Below are 14,978 nucleotides of genomic sequence, written 5' to 3' on the forward strand. Positions count from 1 at the left end.
ATAAGGAAAACACTTCAGGACAAGGTAAAGATTTTATGGCTAAGTCTTCAAAAGCACAGGCAACAAAAATAGGAATATACAAACGAGACAATAGTAAACTAAAACATTTCTGCACAACATAGAAAACAATCAACAAAGTGAAGAGACAACCTGTTGAATGTGAAAAAATATTTGCAAACTACTCATTTGTCTGACAAGAAACTAATATCCAGAATATACAAAGAACTCATACAACTCAGCAACAATAGAAATTCAAGTGATTCTATTAGAAAGTGGGCAAATGGTCTGAATAGATTTCTCAAAAGATGACATACAGATTACCAAGAGGTATATTTAAAAATGGTCAATAGCACTAATCATCAGGTAAATACAAATCAAAACCAAAATGAGATACCGTCTCACCCCAATTAAAATATCTATCATCCAAAGGACACAAAAAAATAGAACTACCATACAATTCAGCAATGTCACTATGAAGTACTTATCTGAAAAAAAAAAAAAAAAAAGGATTCAGTATATCAAAGGGATACCAATACCCTTATGTTTATTGCAGCACTATTCACAATAGCCAAAATATGGATGCAGTGCAAATGTCCATCCATGGATGAATAAATGAAAAACATGGTATATCTACACAATGAAACACTATTTACCCATAAAAATGATTCTGTCATTTGCAGCAACATGGATGGAACTGGAAGTCATCAAGTGAAATAAGTCAGGCACAGAAAAATAAATGCTGCAATGTCTCACTCATATGCAAGAGCTAAAAGAGTTAATCTCATGAAGGAGAAAGATAATCATCAGAATCTGAAAAAGGAGGTAGGGGATGAAAAGAGGTTGATTGAAAACAGATAGTTAAGTAGAAAGAGTAGGTTCCAGTGTTTGGTATCACATTAGAGTGACTATAGTCACAAAAATTGATTGTATATTTCAAAATAGTTAGAATAAAAAATCTGAAATGTTCCCAACGCAGAAAATGTTCAGTGTTAGAAGAGATGGATATCCTACATACCATGACTTGATAATTATATATTGTATGCATGTATCAAAATATCAAATCTATAATTATCTATCAATAAAATAATTTTAGAAAGGAAGAAAAATGCAAAAAATATAAGGCTCATGTACTACTACAAGTTAGCTTCCTCACAATCAAAATAAATCACGTTATATATTATTCACTAACCTTATGTAATATTAGATTAAATGTGGGCATTAAGGTTACTGTAGTCCTATTAGAATATGGTCATTAAGCATCTTTATGGTCAAACTGTGAAGCAAAGTCATTTATTTGTTCCCCTCTTCCATATATATATATGTATATATATATGTATATGTATATATGTATATATATATGTATACATATATATGTATATATGTATATATGTGTATATATGTATATATATGTGTATATATGTATATATATGTGTGTATATATGTGTATATGTATATAAACTTTATATACTAATTAATAAAACAAATAGGAATGCAAAAAGTGAGTGAATTTTCTATTATTTTAGAATTGGCTATTGTCCAGATTTGGAATTCTCCTCTGCTTCATTTTAAAATAATTTTAACCATTTTATTTTAAAGAAATTTATGAACTCTGCCTCAAAACAGCTGGTGAAATGATCTAAACCTTAAATAGGACGCCTCTAAATGGATATATCTTAAATGCAATTGGCTTGAAGAGTGATGTTGTTATTTGTTATCATTATGAACATCGTTTATTTCTAGACATGGTCAGCCATGCACCACTTTCAGTTATATTAGAAATAGAGGGAAGATAAGAATAGAAATAAAAAAGTCAAGATCCAGTCACAGTTGTATATTAAAGAGTCAAATCCAAAGACAGACTTTTAAGACGGAGGATGGAGTTCTTAATCTGAGCAATGACCACCATTTTCATTGCACAAAAATCTGAACAGAGAAGACAGGCAGTTGATGAGTGCAGTTTTTTTCTGGAAATTGTGTAATTGAGACTTCATATCTACCCTTTCCCCACATATTCACATATCTACCACTAAAGAAGGTAGATTAGGCATAACAAAGCCATATTTTTTAGGAAAAATAAGGTAAGAGCCACACTGACTGTTGTGAGATGGTATCTTATTGTGGTTTTGATTCACTTTTCTGTAATAATCAGTGATGTTGAGCTTTTCTTCATGTGATTGTTGGCCATATGCATGTCTTCTTCTGAAAAGTGTCTGTTCATGTCCTTTGCTCACTGTTTTTATTGGGTTGTTATTTTTCTTGTAAATTTGTGTAAGTTCCTTAAAGATGCTGGATATTAGAAAAGCCAGATTGGCTATTAATAAAAAGTCAAAAAATAACAGATGCTGATGAAGTTGTGGAGAAAAGGGAACACTGTTTCTTTTTTTTTTCAAGGCAGAGTCTTCCTCTGTCGTCCAGGCTGGAGTGCAGTGGTGTGATCTCGGCTCACTGCAGCCTTAACCTCCTGGGTTCAAGAAATTCTCCTTCCTCAGCCTCCTGAGTAGCTGGGATTACAGGAGCCTGCCACCATGCCTGGCTAATTTTTGTATTTTTAGTAGAGATGGGGTTAGTTGAGACAGCTGAAAAAGGAACACTTATACACTGTTGGTGGGAGTGTAAATGAATTTAGCCATCATGGAAGAGAGTGGGGCGATTCCTCAAAGATCTAAAGACAGAGCTACCATTTGACCCAGCAATCTCATTATTTCATATATATGGAAAGGAATATAAACATGTGTGTTCATTGAAACACTATTCACAAGAGGAAAGACATGGAATCAATCTAAATGAGCATCAATGATAGACTGAATAAAGAAAATGCAGTACATATACACCATGGAATACTATGCAGCCATAAAAAAGAACAAGATTATGTCCTTTGCAGAAACGTGAATGGAGCTGGAGGCCATCTCCTTTTGCAAACTAACACAGAAACAGAAAACAAAATACCACATGTTCTCACTTATAAGTGGGAGCTAAATAATGGAACACATGGATACATAGAGAGGAACCACAGATATTGGGGCCTATCAGAGGGTGGAGGTTGGGAGTGGAGATGACTGTAACTCATCCGGCCATGCTCTTGTGAGACTAAAAGCCTCCTGGAAATTCCAAGCGCTCCATGTACCACTATAGGCCCTAGCCAAAACCATCTGTGGTCACATGCACATCTAGTTTAAATGGGCACCCCTGGGCTTGTGCCTGCTGAATAGCCTGCTTTTAGTCCCAACTGTGAAAGGGAGCTGAGCTCCTGTGTTTATTAAGAAAGAAGCAGTTAGTAACTGCATATGCTGCCCTTCAGCCTTACAAGAGTGTGACAGGATGAGTTACAGTCATCTTGCAGCTGACGTGCCCAATACTGGGGTGGGCCATTCGTGAGTAATGACCCCCCAGAGTGGAAAGGCACAGACATCCACCTTGCAAAGTGGGGTGCCTATTTAGAACAGTGGAGTATGCTGAGTACAAGTCCCATAGCAGCAGAGTTATAAGAGGGCTTGGGACCTGTAGTCCTAATGCAAGATAAGGCCATGGGGCCTAATGCCATGAGGCCTGAGGCACCCCTAGAGCCTGAGCCATCACCATTTAAGGAAGAGCATCCCCCCTTTCCTAATGGGGCATGGTACACAAATGGGTCTAGCTAGAATGCTACTGCTGTCTGGACTGCTGTTGCCGTTCAACTTAATACTGACACCATATGGTTTGAAACCAGGTGTAGACAGAGGAGCTAATAAGCTAAACTCAGGGCAGTGTAAATGGTAATCACCAAAGAGGTAATCTGCACCAATATGGTAATCTGCACTGACTGCTGGACACTTTATTGAAGCTAATGTATGTCACAGGCCTGTGTGCACAGAACCTATGTATAAGGCCTGTGTCAAGCCTATACCTATGTATCTGGCCTGTGTGTGTGTATGTATCATGCCAGGCTTATGTGTATGTATCAGGCCAGGCTTATGTGTTAAGCCTATGTGTATGTATCAGACCTGTGCACCCAAAGGCTATATGTTAGGCTTATGTGTCAAGCCTATGTGTATGTATTGAGCCTGTGTGCCCAAAGCTTATGTGTTGGACATGTGTGTCCAGAGCCTATGTGCCAAACTTGTGTATTGGGCCTGTGTGCCCAAAACCTATGTCTCCCTCAGCCTAGGGGGTGGAATGTAAGCTACACGGTTGTGCTTTGGTCAAGGAAGAGGTCGAGGTAAATATCCAGGCCAGGATGACTCAGCAAGTTTAGGGTGCAGGCGCAGACTCCACTTATTATATAACCTGTTTTGTGTAAACTTATACTTGGCTCTCAGGCACTATTGTTTGAAAAGTGTAACTGCCCTGACACTGTATAGGCTCAGTTCTCACTGGTGTCCAGAGAGAGAGTAACACTGCTTAGCCCTGTAGAGCTGGTCGCCTTGAAGGTGGGCAGGGGGGAGCCAGGAACTGGCTTGTGCCTAGAGGGAGAGTTAAGCTGCTGACCCTGTAGTTGGCCTTGCAGGTCAGGGAGTGCAGCTGCAAGTGTGGGGGCAGCAGGAGCCACAGAACTGGCTGCTGAGAGGAGCCACAGAGCCAGAGCAGATAGCCAAGATAAATGCAGACAGTGTTAGAGAGTTGCTAATGAGAGAGCTGCTGAATAAAGCCATATTCCACCTGCCTACGGCCTCCCAAGTGTTCTTTCGGCTATCTGCCCATCCACCCACTCCCCTCAGACCTCAGCTGGGGCTACAGCCTGACCCTGAACCTGACATTTGGCATAGTCGTGAGCCTAACAGTGAATAAAGTTTCTATTTTATATTTTGTGCATTAAAATTCTTAACTGCTTGAGTCAAAAGGCAAAGAAAACCAATATGTAAACAAGTTTTAAGAGTCTTCTGAGTGCAAGAAGAAAGGAAGATATACAATAGTTTTTAAATGTCTTCAATAACAGTAATTCCAAATATTGTATAGATTGTTGGAATTTAGAGTTTATTTTAATATATAAAGTATGGAATATATAATATATAATATATATATATGGAATATTTAATGTATAAAGTATGGAATTTAGAGTTTATTTTAATATATAAAATATGGCTTTATTCAGCAGCTCTCTCAGCAGCTCTCTCACGCTGTCCGCATTTATCTTGGCTATCTGCTATATACATTGCATATATAAATTCATAATTTTGATATTTATATACACATTAGTCCTTACATAAAACAATAAATTTGTTGTATTTAAAGATATACCTAAAAAAATTAGTCTCAGCAAAGGTACTTTCCTCAGATTATGCAGATGGTAATTGAAAGGCAAAATTAAATCCAACTTTTCTCTCCTTGCATGCATTGTTGTTTTCAATATATTTGTTGCCTCATTACACCTCATCTAATTCACAAGAAAATTAGAAATCTTATAGTATTTATTCAGTTTTTAGTATCTCACAGGGTTTTTAAAAATATAGTAGCACAAAGTAGAGTTTGAGTACAACAAAAGACAGAGTCAAATAACATTTGGATACATTGATGACTAATATTCTTTGGCAATGATGGTAATATCCTCTCATCCATTCAGGCTGGGAGTCTCAAATAATCTCATTACTCACATTGTTCACATTCAGTTTTCTCCTCAATTATACCACCAACATCAACTTAATCATTTCCTGCCTTTCAATTCCCATTGCTTTCACTTGACTCATTACTGTTCTACACCACTACAAGGGCATTAGCCTCTGCAGTCGGAATTAACAAAGGGTAGGCATCAAAAGGTGTATGGAAGTCAAATATGTTACAGATGTATTGTGTTAAGTTGATGTGCCTTCTGTTAAGCAAACGTGTATCCTGTTAAGTTGAATGAGCCTCCCATTAGCTTCAATGTGTTCAGATGGGTCCTGATAGGATGATAAATACCACTTAAGTCTTGAATACCAGCTAGGGGAAAGTTGCTGGGCACATCATTGGAACTCTTGCCCTTAGTTCAAATATCTCTGAGACTTGGGGGATACTAGGAATTAATATAACAAAGACACATCTATTCTAAGTTTCAGGTGCTGTGTCTAAGATTAGTAAACTGTGGAATCATGCAGTCATATTCTAAAGAGTAGTTGATGAAAGTGATGAAACTGTAATATGTGTAGAACAACAAACAGACTCCATTTGTAACAAGTTTTTAATTTGTCTCCTACTGGACAATTTTTAATCTTACACACAGCTGATAATGGAGTCTATTTGTAGCTACTGGAGACAGAATGACAAATAAGACATGGTCTCTGCTTTGAAGAATATAGAGATGGATGGACAGTATACACTTCCAACAATCAAATGCAATGTGAAGTGTGCTGCAATAGAACTATGCACCAATTTGCTTACCTGTGAGTAACTCAACTGATCTTATTGTGTAAGGTTACAGAAAAGGAATCCATAAAAGATCATGGAGAGGTCAATTTTTCATTGTAATTATTATAATCATTATGACTTATGAAACAATGAAAAAGTGGTGAAATATGTTAGAAAGATGTAAAAAATACATGTTAAAATTTATGTGTCAATAGTATAGCACGTTCAAAGAAAATAGAGAAGTTCTCTGTGCCTGGAGCCTTATGGATAGAAAAGAGAAAGGGGAAAAAAATGGAGAGAAAGTATGAGCTTCTGAAAGGGTATATTGCTGTGGGTAGTAGAGTATCATTATAGATTGTTATGGAATATCATGAATAGTTGTTTGTATTAAAGGGACAACACTATCACTATTAAGAGAACTCAGAGAGATGTGCAGAGGTATTAAAAGCAAGTAAATGGGTTAGGGGTCTCTAGTAATAGTCACAAAGTTGAGTAAGAATGGGGAAAATAATTGATACATTACTTTGTGGAATAATCATGTTAGGATGTGTTCTTTAGGAGATATTGAATACATCCAGGATGATATTGAAGTTCCAGATTTGTTTTAATTGAATGCATGAGAGTAAAACTAATGGAGAGTTAATGTAGAAAGCAGAGGTTAGGGAAGTGATTATATGGTCAATTTTAGAAAGATTCAGCTTGAAATGTTTAGAGAATTTTTTTTTCAAATCTTTTCTGTTGGAATAATGTCAGGTTTGCAGAAAAGTCACAGGATATTACAAAGTTTTCATATACCTTTCACTCAGCTTCCCCTAATATAAACATATTTTATTAATTGTATATATTTTCCATTACTTTGGAAACAAAGTACCACAAATTTAATGGCTTATACCAACACAAATTTATTAACTTATAGTTCACATGTCCAAAATGGGTCTCACTAGGCCGACATCACATTATTACCAGAGTTACTAACCTTTCTGGAGGCTCTAGGGGATAATCCAAATTCTTGTTTTGCCAGCTTATGGACAACCACCTTCCATTCTTGGTTTGTGGCCCCCTTTCATCTTCAAAGCGAGCAAGGGCCAGTTGCATTACTCTCATCAACAGTTTCTCATATCACATTAATCTAACATAGTGTATTTTACCTTCTTTTTCCACATTTGCGGAACATGAAATTACATTGGGCCCAACTGGGTAAACCAAGATCATCTACCAATTTAATGCCAATGTATTAGCGAATCTGAATTCTATTCACTATCTTAATTCCCTGTGTCATGTAGCTTCATATATTTACAGAAGGTTGCAGGGATTAAGAGAGAGATATCTTTGGAGGGTAATTATTCTTCCTACCATGGTTCTTTGGTCAAAGGGATTTTTTTGCATTTCACCAATTTTTCTATTATGGCTTCTCAGCACTATTTTATGTACAGCAGGTGAAGCCACATTGGTACCCTGCCCAAACATGTTTGGTTTCAATATTTTCGTAAAATGAATTTTAAATTATAGGATGGCTATTTACAATTCTCATCTTCTATGAATCCTCCCCACATGAAATATCCCAACCACTCTAAGAGCTGTGATGTCATAGAAGAACACGCAATATAAAGATAATCAAAACTCTCTTATTTTAAAACATAATAATTCTGAATAATGAGTTAATTTGGGATTTTCTTTTCTCTTCAGTATTCATTTTTTTTAACCTATAGGAAACACTCATCACTACTTTTATTGTTCCACTCGAATTCATCATTTTTCTCTGGCTTACTCAATAGCTGCCCTTCCTACTAAAGTGATTGCCCATCACACTATGTCTTCCACACAATGGCTCAAAGTATCTTTTTTAATGTATTGTGTTCTTTCCCCAATCTTCCAATGGCTTCCATTCACAATAAGAATAAAATTGTACCTTTCTGTCCTGAACTGAAAGACTGAACACGATCTTGCTCATCTTCCAGACCTTATCTTTCACCACCATCTGCCTGGTTTATTCTACTCCTCAAGTTCACCAAAAGCGTGCTGCCCTCAAGTTTTTCTACCTACTGTTTCTTCTGCTTGGAATATTCTTCCTCTAGGTATGTATAGACTTGTTCCTTATTCCTTACACTTTCTGTTCAAATGTCACCTTTTTGTAAGATTGTGAAAAAAAAAAGATCTAAAATTAAAAGCCCTACAAAAAATACCAATATTTTCTTTCCTCTTCCCTTTAATAAAATATCATTTAGTACTATTTGAATATTAGCTTTAAATATTAGTTACAATTAAAGCTAATCACATGCAATCAATATAATAGTTAATACTTTTCAATCATTTGAAGGTTTCTAGATGTCAAGAATTTTTCTAAGCATTTTAGATGTATTAAATCATTTGTTTCCAGAAATTCTCTGAGCTAAACACCATATTTATCTTCATTCTACAGATAAGTAAACTGAGTCTCAAAAATAAAGATTATTTTCCTGAGACTAGATAGCCATTTAATGGAAATGCCATCCAACCTTAGTGGGATGTTTCTAGATTACATAATGCTCACCCTTGTCTTATGTAGTCTCTGATATAGGCATTTTTTAAAAACAACTTTAAGAACTCTTTCAAAAATATATTTAAAATAAGTTATCTCTATAGCCATTTCTACAGGGATATTTAGGTAAGTGAAACTTAGGACACTTCTAAACTCTACCTTCATTTCTTTCAACATCTGAAACCTCTGCTTCATGCAATTACTTTTACCCAACTCAATTCTGGCTCTTTTATTTGTACTCTCAATTAATGTACATGCAGTCTGTCTGAAAGTCTCTTGTGTGTACTTCTTTGTCTAATTTTTATGTCTAATACAGGTAATTTGTGTTCCATGGCTTTTATCTTTCTCTGAAGCTTACCACTTGCATAAACAATGTACACTACTTTCTTTTTATGTCTTCATATCTCCATTAATTACATTCTCACCATCTGAAAGGAATATTCTATATGTCTCTGTTGTGGACTAAACTGTGTCCTGCTAAGCTTCTTATGTTGAAGTCCTAACTCCCAATGTTAATGTATTTAAAGATGAGGCGTATAAAGATATATTTAAGTTTAAATGAGGCCATAATTTGGGGCCCCAAATTTATAAAACTGGTGTCTATATGTGAATAAGAAGATACTGAGAGCTTCTTATGTTGAAGTCCTAACTCCCAATGCTAATGTAATTAGAGATGGGGTTTATAAAGATACATTTAAGTTTAAATGAGGCCATAATTTTAGGGCCCTAAATTTATAAAAACTGGTGTCTATATATGAATAAGAAGGTACTGAGATATTTCTATGTGTATGCACAGAAAAGAGGTCACATAAAGACACAGTGAGAAGGCAGCCATCTCCACAGCAGGAAGAGAAGCCTCACCAAAACCAAATCAGATGCCTCCTTAATTTTGAACTTCTAGCTTCCAGAACAGTGACAAAATTATTTTTTTATTGTTTAAGCCATCCAGTCTATGTTATTTTGTTATGGCAGCCTGAGCAGACTACAAAACGCTATTGAATTAAATTGTCATATCTTGGGTAGCTAGAAACCCAGGAACCTATATTAAGACAACATTCTACATGTGGGTCCACACCTCTTCTGAAATCCCTGCTGCCTTTTGAGATTTCAAAAGTGAGTAAGTCACATGCCAATAATAGTACCCCTTGTTATAACAAAAATATTTTGTATTACCTAATAATATAAGCAAAGGAACTTATATTTGTATTGGCAAATTTTTTCAGCGGTCCCCAGATACAGCTCCTTGCTCTTTGGTGCACAGCAGTGAGAATTGTCTTGTAAAGGTAGCCCTTGCTGAAGCTGAGCATCAAGTTGCTAAAGTACAACCAATTTGTAACCACCCCCTCTCCTTTAGCAGTTACATTTATACCCAGATTTTTATATCTTTTGTTGATATTACATCCCACAAGATGGCACATGACAGGAAATAGTTATAATCTTAGAAACATAGACTCTTGTGAGTCATAGGTACAGTTTTCATCCCTATGAATTGTTATATCCAAAGGAATTAAACCTCAGGCAACCCCTAACTAATTTTTCATTTTAAAAAGTTCCAAAAAAGCACATAATTTCTCTAGGTTAGACATGAAAAAGTTAGATCCTGTTTGTTGAATGAACATGTTGGCAGAAATGATGGTTAATCTAATGACCTGTGTTATAACTTCATAAAAAGTAAATTGTCGACTACTTTGGAGAAATATTTAAAAATCCATGCGTGATTTGAAAAAAGATCTAATGTAGGTTATGTTCTTTTTTTTTTTTTTTTTGAGACAGAGTCTCACTCTGTCACCCAGGCTAGAGTGTAGTGGCGCGATCTCTGCTGACTGCAACCTCCGCCTCCTGGGTTCAAGCGATTCTCCTGCCTCAGCCTCCTAAGTAGCTGGGATTACAGGTGTGCGCCACCATGCCCGGCTAATTTTTTTATTTTTAGTAGAGACAGGGTTTCACCATGTTGGTCAGGCTGGTCTCGAGCTCCTGACCTTGTGATCCACCTGCCTCGGCCTCCCAAAGTGCTGGGAATACAGGCGTGAGCCACCACGCCTGGCGAATGTGAGTTATATTCTTAAATGTTCTGTTTTTATGTTTCTCACGGGAAATAATCATTTTCACTCAAAACTATATTGTTCCGTAGTTATTGGCTTAAAGTATCCTCTTAGTGACAAGATAATTTCTTCACTCATTAAACTGAAGTGTTCTTAGCACTTAATATCCAAACTTACAATACCTGCAAGCATGCTCTTTCAGTGATATTAGATTTCTCAACACCATCAGACAGGCCTTTCTTTTTTTTTTTTTTTTTTGAGACGGAGTCTCATTCTGTCACCCAGGCTGGAGTGCAGTGGTGCAATCTCGGCTCACTGCAACCTCCGCCTCCCTGGTTCACGCCATTCTCCTGCCTCAGCCTCCTGATTAGCTGGGACTACAGGAGCCTGCCACCACTCCTGGCTAATTTTTGTATTTTTAGTAGAGACAGGGTTTCACCATGTTGGTCAGGCTGGTCTCGAACTCCCGACCTTGTGATCCGCCTGCCTTAGGCTCCCAAAGTGCTGGGATTACAGGCATGAGCCATCGCACCCGCCCCAGCCAGGCCTTTCTAATGTAGCATCAAAATACATTACATAGCATGTGGTTCATTTTAAGTCAGCCTTTTGTATTTGAACAACACCTTGTACCCTGATGAAACAAAACATATCCTAACATTACTATAAAATATCTCTAATAGGAAATATATTTCTTGACTCAGAAAAAACCTGCGACACCTTTCCTAAAACTGTTCTTAGTGGCTGGTTGTATCCAAGTTCAGTTTCACTAAGATTCACCATGGCAGTTCACCAAGGCCTCTATGAATAAATGCAGAGGAAAAATCATCACAAAAGTTTCCTAGAGTCTAAGTTGGCCAGAGGAGAGATAACTCAACACAAGTATGATTTAGACAAAGTATGTTTGGCATGCTCATTATATCTCTGTACCCTTTCACCTTACAGAATCTGCATCTATCCTCTATGAGCTCCTGTCTTCCTCATGTTCTTTGTATGGATGAAGTAGACATGAAAAGTCACTAGTATTTCTGTTTCATTTGAATATCTTCCCAAGAAAAATTGAAGGGAACTTCTGGCTAATAAGGATGAATTATTAGTCCATTTAACTATCCTTCTTTTCAAGTCTGACCTGAATATAAAAATGCAAATAAAACTGGAGGGGGAAGAGGCCTGGCATTGTCAAAAGAAGCAGAGTTAAAAAACAAACAAACAAACAAACAAACAAAAACAGAAGCAGAGGGAAACAGAGAAATCCATGCAGGAGAACTTTCGAAAAATTTGTTCTAGATATTGTGTAGCTACTACTGGGTTAGGGAAAAAGCTAATGAACCAATAATTCCCTGTAATTAAAAACAGCTTGCTTGATAGGAGATACCCATTCCAAAATATCCTTACTAGTCCAGTTCTAACTCTAAGGAACAAGGATCAACAGCAAGGGTATAGAATTTATCATGATCTATGTAAGTGTTCCTGGTAGCACTTCTACCTAGCCTAAATTTGATCCAACTATACATATAAGGCAAAGAGCTAGAAACAAAGATAATGAATTATACCATAGAAATGTAGGAATATTGTCTTAGTTTATTGTCAGCTCTTATAACAAAAATTATGAATATAGGATAAAACTTTCTGAGATAATTAAACCAATTTATTTTTCTGCGAGTTAACCTAATTACTATTTTAAGACTTCATTTAGGCTGGATTAATTTCTCCTCTTTGAGTAAACTCAATCAGTTTGGAGTGAGACTTGCGCTCTTTCTGTTATCTTCCTCTGGTTAAAGATAAGGGGCAAGAGTTTACATTAAGGCATTGAGAAAGGAGATAGTGTCTTGACCAGTGCCTCTGAAACAATAGAGTGTATTTAAATCACCCCAGATTATTACAGAGCAAATTCTGATTAAATGGATTGGAATGGAACTTGAGAGTTCTCATTTCTTAGAAGTGAAGAAGCCACTGATGCAGGTGGGCAAGACCTTACTTTGAGTAGCAAAAGACTCAAGTCTCTATCATATATCCAACTATGACTCCAGGAGTTGTTCTATTAAATATTGCATTTTACTTACAGATATGGCAATCTGCCTCATTGAAAATAAAAATATTCTCTGTTTTCCCTCTAGGTCTCTATTTCTAGGGAGTCTCGGTATGGTAACCATATATCTTGGTTTTATTAGAATAGTATATGCCAGTTGAGCCACCTTAATTACTAATAGTGCCCTCATCATACTTGAAAGCACCTGAGTTGGGCTGGTATATCATATTGCTATCTTAGACCTAGGCCTTTTTATGCTACAGAGTCCCCTCATCACAAATTTGTAATTGCTATAGAATAATTGTTTCTTTCCTCAGTGCAATTCTGTGTCTTCTTCATTTTCTCCAGGAAATTTAGTTACTTGGCGAAGCCACCGTGATGCTGGGTAAATTCCCTCTCAGCTTTTCTGAGAGAAAAGGAGGAACAGCCTAATGTATTTTGGGGTTCTCAAATGGTTATTGGAAACTATCACACTGCTTAAGAACTAAACCTGTCATTAAATTAGTGAGCGAGGAGAAGAGCTACTTGGCAAAAGTCCTTCTAAATCTTTCTTTATTTTCTAATATATATTGTATATCTCTGACATTATTTAGTCTGTCAAGGACAGGATATGGGTGATAGGAGGATAAAATGTCTGATCAATTACACTTTCAAAATATACTTTTATCTAGAATTTGTTTTTGAATTCTAAAGGGCTATAATTCATTGTCTATTTATTTGGTCCCTGAAAACTCCCTTCTCGGGGCAGCTTCACATCATGAAACTAAATGAGATGGGAGAGCAGAAATCTAAACACAATCTGTTGTAAACATATAAATGGGACTTAAACTCCAAAACACAAGACTGATTTAATAATGTCACTACTTACATCTCTGTATTTTACCAGTTTCCCAAAAGTTATGAAATTTTTAAATAGAAAAAATCTGTTACAATCAAAATTTAATAGCATCTATATGATGTAGAAATTTTGAATAAAAAAACCCACATGAATGATTTAAATCTAATTAAATATTGTTACAAAGGAAAATTACATTTCCTTTTGTGAAAATAAATACAGTAAAAGCAACAGATATGCAGCAATACAACCAATTTTTTAAAATGAGATTCTCAAAAATCAGACTTTTTAAGAACCTAAACAGTTGCACCAACAAACAATATATTTACATTAATATTTAAGTTTCAATGATCTCATATAAAATTAGACAGTCATAAACCATATAGTATATGAATGCAGGATAGAGTACATAAAATGAAAAATATCAATACTAAGTTAAAAATCAGAATTGAGTTATTGATTTAGATGTTTCAAAATCAAAATCAAAAGAGGGAAAATGAAAACGTTCCATGAAACTTAAAGATATGCACAAAAAAAGAAAACAAAAAATGTGTAAGTGATCACACTGCTGATGGGAATGTAAACTAGTACAACTACTATGGAAAACAGTGTGGAGATTCCTTAAAGAACTAAAGGTAGAACTGCCATTTGATCCAGCAATTCCACTACTGAATATCTACCCAGAGGAAAAGAAGTCATTATACGAAAAAGATACTTGCTCACAGATGTTTATAGCAGCACAATTCACAATTGCAAAAATGTGAAACCAACCGAAATTCCCATCAATCAATGAATGGATAAAGAAACTGTGAGACATAAATAGATAGATAAATAGATAGATACACACACAATGGAATACTATGTACTATTGCATGTGTGTGTATACATATATACACACAATGGAATATATATATACACACAATATACTATATATATATATATATATATATATATATATATATATATATATATATACATACACACACAATGGAATACTACTCAGCCATAAAAATGAATGAATTAATGGCATTTGCAGCAACCTGGATGTGATTGGAGAGTATTATTCTAAGTGAAGTAACTCAAGAATGGAAAACCAAACATCATATGTTCTCACTCATAAGTGGGAGCTAAGCTATGAGGATGAAGAGGCATAAGAATGACACAATGGACTCTGGGGACTCAGAAGGAAAGGGTGGGAAGGGAGTGAGGGATAAAAGACTACAAATTGGGCTCAGTGTATACTGCTCAAGAGATGGGTGC

The 14,978-nt window shown here is 35.9% G+C and overlaps 1 long non-coding RNA gene across 1 annotated transcript in view, besides 1 other annotated feature; it reads left to right on the forward strand.

Moving 5' to 3' along the window:
* The window catches only part of LINC00333 (long intergenic non-protein coding RNA 333), a 466,167-nt gene that overhangs the window by 254,682 nt on the left and 196,507 nt on the right, over positions 1-14,978 (forward strand). The gene's annotated exons all lie outside the window — the stretch shown is intronic.
* Positions 4,091-4,385: an enhancer, noted in NCBI's record as "tiled region #2923; HepG2 Activating DNase matched - State 8:EnhW, and K562 Activating non-DNase unmatched - State 24:Quies". NCBI's record gives its function as "activates a minimal TATA promoter and a strong SV40 promoter by Sharpr-MPRA in HepG2 and K562 cells {active_cell/tissue: HepG2 | K562}" and the evidence as "EXISTENCE:reporter gene assay evidence [ECO:0000049][PMID:27701403]".

The sequence above is a fragment of the Homo sapiens genome, chromosome 13 (assembly GCF_000001405.40).
Source record: "Homo sapiens chromosome 13, GRCh38.p14 Primary Assembly".
In the NCBI taxonomy this organism is placed as follows: Eukaryota; Metazoa; Chordata; class Mammalia; order Primates; family Hominidae; genus Homo; species Homo sapiens.